Source organism: Homo sapiens, chromosome 14 (genome assembly GCF_000001405.40).
Source record: "Homo sapiens chromosome 14, GRCh38.p14 Primary Assembly".
Taxonomy (NCBI): Eukaryota; Metazoa; Chordata; class Mammalia; order Primates; family Hominidae; genus Homo; species Homo sapiens.
Window position 1 is genome coordinate 20,001,922 of NC_000014.9, and position 6,367 is coordinate 20,008,288.

Below are 6,367 nucleotides of genomic sequence, written 5' to 3' on the forward strand. Positions count from 1 at the left end.
AATCAACCTTGGCCATGTCATCAGTGTCTTGAGGTTGCAGCTGGTGAAATAATATACATTTATATTAGGTAAGGAGAAAATAATTTCTTCCAGCTAATTAATCAGGATGTATCTTAGAGGATGAAAAATCTCTCTTTTGAAATGAGCAGAGTCTTGTATTTGATATGAATTACCTCATTCATTTTAAATGTCACTAATGCCCTATTGTTTAATCTCTTTGATCTAGGTAGAGCCAGATCAAATGGATAAAAACCAAACAGAAGTGATGAGAGAATTTTTCTTGTCAGGGTTCTCACAGACACCATCTATTGAAGCAGGGCTATTTGTACTATTTCTTTTCTTCTATATGTCCATTTGGGTTGGCAATGTCCTCATCATGGTCACAGTAGCATCTGATAAATACCTGAATTCATCACCCATGTATTTCCTTCTTGGCAACCTCTCATTTCTGGACCTATGTTATTCAACAGTAACGACCCCTAAGCTTCTGGCTGACTTCTTTAATCATGAAAAACTCATTTCCTATGACCAATGCATTGTGCAACTCTTCTTCCTGCATTTTGTAGGGGCAGCTGAGATGTTCCTGCTCACAGTGATGGCGTACGATCGCTATGTTGCAATCTGTCGCCCGCTGCACTACACCACTGTCATGAGTCGGGGGTTATGCTGTGTGTTGGTTGCTGCCTCCTGGATGGGAGGATTTGTGCACTCCACTGTCCAGACCATTCTCACTGTCCATCTACCCTTTTGTGGGCCAAATCAGGTGGAAAACTTTTTTTTGTGATGTTCCCCCTGTCATCAAACTTGCTTGTGCTGACACTTTTGTCATTGAATTGCTCATGGTATCTAACAGTGGGTTGATCTCCACCATCTCCTTTGTGGTGCTGATTTCCTCCTACACCACTATCCTAGTCAAGATTCGCTCCAAGGAAGGAAGGCGAAAGGCACTCTCCACGTGTGCCTCTCACCTCATGGTGGTAACACTGTTTTTTGGACCCTGTATTTTCATCTACGCTCGTCCTTTCTCTACATTTTCTGTGGACAAGATGGTGTCTGTACTCTACAATGTTATTACCCCAATGCTAAACCCCCTCATCTACACACTTCGGAACAAAGAGGTAAAGTCAGCCATGCAGAAGCTCTGGGTCAGAAATGGGCTTACTTGGAAAAAGCAGGAGACATGAGACATTGATATGAATTTTTGAAAGTAGAAAATCTGAGGTTAAAATAATAACTTTTCAAATAATGAGTTAGAAGGTGGTTGCCTAGTTTTTAAATTTATTTCATTAAATCAAAATAGCCCTATTATTGACTTTATCATTCAACTGTACACTATAACTAATCTGTTTACTTTTTTATTCAATCAAATCTGATTTTTCTATCAGATTGTCTTTTTCCTCTTATGTATTCACCTCATCAAATTTTATTCCATCCAGTATTTCCATTTAGTTTGTCATTTGGCACTGGTACAAACCACTTTTTCTAAGCCTTCACTGCCTTCTCTACCTTGCTTTATTTGTTTTTCTTCAATTTTAACTTATTACAACTACAGATGGTCCCTGAGTTATGATGATTCACCTTATAATTTTTTGTCTTTAAGATGGTGTACAAACCATACTTTGATTACTCATGTAACCATTTTGTTTTTCACTTTCCGCACAGCATTCCATAAATTACATTCAACTCTTTATTATTATAAAATTTGCTTTGTGTTAGATGATTTTGTCTAACTGTAGACCAGTGTCAATGTTCTGGGCATGTTTGAGGGAGGCTAGGCTAAGCTATCATGTTCAGTAGGTTAGGTTTATTAAATACATTCTTGACTTACAGTATTTTCAACTTACGGTGGGTTTATTCAGACATAAGCCCATCATAAGTTGAGGAGCATCTGTAGATATCTGCAGTCAATTTACAGGTATTTCTTTCTGTACATATTTAAGAGATATCAGTTAGATGTATTAGAGTGAATTCAATTTATGACTATATAACAACAAGCTAATGGAATATATTAGTTTCATCACCTTATCACATGTAGTAGAGAAAGCAGTTGCCTAATATTGTGGGTTCAAATATCCCTCTTTGAATCACAATTCATGTAAACCTCAAAATTTTTTTACGCCTTGAAGCCCGCATTTCCTCATACATAGCATGCATAAAATGATGTGTACCTCTCAGTGCTGATGTGAAGACGAAAAATGAAAACAGACATGAATATGTCTACTATGGTGCCTGCCTCATACATAACACAGTTCAAAAATAATTTATTCATTAAAGATGATTTTTTCAATGATATAGGGTATAGAAGGTTAAGTTCTACACTGGCTGACTTACCACATTGCAACAACAGTTTGATCTGCCAGTTTGTGCAGGATACTCGAAAGTGTATATAAATGAGTTCATGACATTTTCACATTTGTCAATTATTGGAAAGTTTATTTTATATTACTGTCATCATCATCAACAATAAACCCCTCGACATTAGTTGTATCCTTAAGTTGTATTAAGACAAATTCATAGGCCTGTTTACTGTTTACCAAATCTTTATAACTAAAGATAAAAAATTAAATCGACATTCAAGTTTACAACAAACTGAACAAAAATAAAATATAAAATACAAATGAACCGTGAAGTATTTTCATTCTTACAGCTTTTTTAGTCTTTGGATTTTAAAGCAATCATAGTAACAAATCTGTGTGACAAAGACAGAAGCCAAAGAGGTTTGGTAAATTTATTACTGACTGAGCTTTTATCTTTATTATCTTTATACTCCCCAAACTAACTTAAATACCTAAAATAAATAAAATGGGACAAAAATGTGTTAAATAAATGCAGGAGGCTTCTATATTTTTTCTCATCAATGTGGCATTGACAACAAAAGAAATATTTTAGAGAGGTTTTCTTATTTCATACTTAGTAAAAATAACTTGTAAAATTTTCATTGAGACATAGAAACACTTTCAGAGATGTTAAAGATGCAAGAATTCATCAAACTTGTATTTTATTTTATAAATTATTGGATATATGTGCAGAACGTGCAGGTTTGTTACACAGGTATACATGTGCCATGGTGTTTTGTTGCACCTATCAACCCATCATCTAGGTTTTAAGCCCCGCAGGCATTAGGTATTTGTCCTAATGCACTCCTTCCCCTTTCCCCTCACCCCCCGACAGGCCCTGGTGTGTGGTTTTCTCCTCCCTGTGTCCATGTGTTCTCACTGTTCAGCTCCCACTTATAAGTGGGAACATGTGGTGTTTGGTTTTCTGTTCCTGACTTAGTTAGCTGAGGATAATGGTTTCTGGCTCCATCCATGTCCCTGCAAAGAACATGATCTCGTTCCTTTTTATGGCTGCATAGTATTCCATAGTGTATATGCAACACATTTTCTTTGTCCAGTCTATCATTGATTGGCATTTGGGTTCATTCCATGTCTTTGCTATTGTGAATAGTGCTGCAATGAACATATGTGTGCATGTATCTTTATAATAGAATGACTTGTATTTTGGGGGGTATATACCCAGTAATGGGATTGCTGGGTCAAATGGTATTTCTGGTTCTAGGTCTTTGAGGAATCACTGCACTATCTTCCACAATGGTTGAACTAAACAAATTTTAAAAATGTATAGGAACACATCTAATGATTGATACATTTACATCTAAAATCCAATATACAATGTTCCTGTTCAAATAAAACATGAAGCTCAGATTTTTTAAAAAAAAAAATTACTAATTTTGACAGTGTGGGGTCAGCTTATAATGAAATAACAATCCCTAAAATATTATTCACTTAACACAACAAATATTTATTTTATATTCATGCAACAATAATAACATGGGATGCATGTCAGTCATTGATCTCTGCTTATTGTAGTCACCAACAGATTCATGCTGATGAAGGATTTACCTCAACATGTAATTTCATTACTGCTTGGGTAGGAAAACAGCCACATGGTGAATCTCACCCTGGCTCTTGAATCTTCTCATATTGCATTGACCAAATGTATTATACCAATAAGTTTAATAATTTGAAAAACATGGAAAAACTTCTTTAAAATATGACTATTCAAGGCACTCTGCAGAAGACTTGGAAAATCTATAATGGGCTGGGATTTATTAAAAATATATTAAATCTGTTCTTAAATTCCTTCCCACAAAGAAAACTCACATTAGCGAATTCTTTAAACACACAAGAAAAACATAGCACCAATGTTGTACAAACTCTTCCTGTAAGTAAATAAATAGAGAATACTTTTTATTTCTTTTTGTCACCAGCATGTCTTAAATTTCAAAATCTGACCATAATGTCATAATAATAATAAATTAATTATAAATTAATATCACCTATGAACATAAATGTAATGATCATTTAAATAATTAGCAAATTGTATCTATTGATATGTAGAAAGATAATACAATATGAACCACTTGTCTTACTCCAGATTTGTAAGACTAGTTGAAAATTAAAAAATCAATCCATGTAATTAACTATGTTTACAAATTGATAGATGTAGTAAATTATTGCAAAGTTCAATACCAATTTATTAAAAAAGATATCAAATTTGTAAACTACTAATCACAAGTAAACTTATGCTAGGGAATCCTTAATCTGATAAAGAGTATCCACAAAATAATTCTAAAATAAATATTATGCTCACTGTTGAAATATTAAAGACTTTCACCTTGAAACTAAGAAACAAATAATACTTGATATTGTCACCATAATTCAACATTATTCTGGAGGCTTAGGCAGTGTAATGAGACAAGAAAAAAAATAGAATGGTATAAGAAATGGAGAGGAAGGAATCACATATTCATTATTAACAAATGTCACAGTATGTGTATATAGATAATTGAAGAGAATGTACAGAAAGTCAAATTAATAAATGAAGTTAGCATAATCACTGAATATGACAAAGTCAATAGTCTGAAAATAAATTGTAGACTCCCAGTTCTGGGGTAAAATGGAATAGATATACTTTCCCCTATTCATGCTACTATGCACAACCAAAAACTCTGGATATTATATAATGCAAACATTAAAAAAAAGAAGAAACTCTGAAAGATCGAGGCAGCAAATTAGGTAGAAACTTCAAGACCCAATACATGGCATGATAATTTCCCTTTTTGCAATTTTTATTTCTTTTAATTTGCCTCATATAAGTCCAATTGGGTGTTGGAGAAACCAGCAGCCCAGAAACACCAACAGATGCAGACATAAATAGCCCCCCAAGCCCCCCAGCCAAAAAAAAAAAAGCCCACTATCTTTAACCAGAGGACAAGAAAAGGAGAAGCCTGGAAAGATAGAAAACTTCAAGACAATAACTGCTCTCCATCCACAAAAGGCCACAAATAAATGATGGCCTATCTTCCCCCAAAATAAAGTAAGGAGTCCAGATTTCTAACCTTTCTGGTAGTAATAACCTTCTTCCCATTGGTGTCATTAGAGACCACGTGAAGAGCCGGTAATTCTACTCCATCAAGTGAGGTAAATTTCTCCTCACTGCCAAGGTGATATCAAAGAAGGTTGAGTTGGAAGCCAAGCTGCCAAAACCTTCCAGCAGTAAAGAGTACCCCCTCACCACAGTGTCAGTTGAGGTCATACAGGGAGTAATAAGAAGATGACCTTTTCCCTGACAGCCAGCAGAGACCTAGTAAGGAGATTGGACCCTCACCTCTGCCCAGCAGTAATGAAGCACCCTGCTGGGCCTTCTCTATAGAATCAACAGAGGCCAAGAAGGGAATCTAATTTCTACTTCCATTTTGCAGATGGCACAGTGCCAGATGAAGCCTGCTGAAACAAAAGATTTAAATAGTATCCAGAGTCTCATTACATTGAAATATCTAAGATTAATTTAAAAAACAGAAACAGAAACTCTCACCATACAAACCAGAAAAATCTCAGCTCGAATGAAAAAATAGTGAATAGATGCCAATTCTAAGATAAAACAGATACTAAAATTATCATAAAATTCTTCAATGAGAAATTACAAGCATGTTTGAAGAAAATACAAAATAAAAAGTCTCAGGAAATAAATAGAAGACATAAAAAAGAAACAAATGGAAGTGGAGGTTTTATTATAGAACTGAAAAATGCCATAACAGAAAGAAAGAAAAAGAGAGGGAGACAGAAGGAAGGGAGGTAGGGAGGGAGGAAAAGAAGGAAGGAGGGAGGGAGGGAGGGAGGGAGGGAGGAAGGGAGGGAGGGAGGGAGGGAGGAAGGAAGGAAGGGAGGGAGGGAGGGAGGGAGGGAGGAAGGGAGGGAGGGAGGGAGGGAGGGAGGAAGGGAGGGAGGGAGGGAGGGAGGAAAAGAAGGAAGGAAGGAGGGAGGGAGGGAGGGAGGGAGGGAGGGAGGGAGGGAAGGAGGGAGGA

General features: G+C 35.9%; 1 pseudogene across 1 annotated transcript; it reads left to right on the forward strand.

Moving 5' to 3' along the window:
- The first annotated feature begins 241 nt into the window (after positions 1-241).
- Positions 242-1,184, forward strand: OR4Q2 (olfactory receptor family 4 subfamily Q member 2 (gene/pseudogene); annotated as a pseudogene). The gene has a single exon (NR_145508.2). The product of NR_145508.2 is annotated as an olfactory receptor family 4 subfamily Q member 2 (gene/pseudogene), transcript variant 1, noncoding (transcript).
- The last annotated feature ends 5,183 nt before the right edge of the window (positions 1,185-6,367 follow it).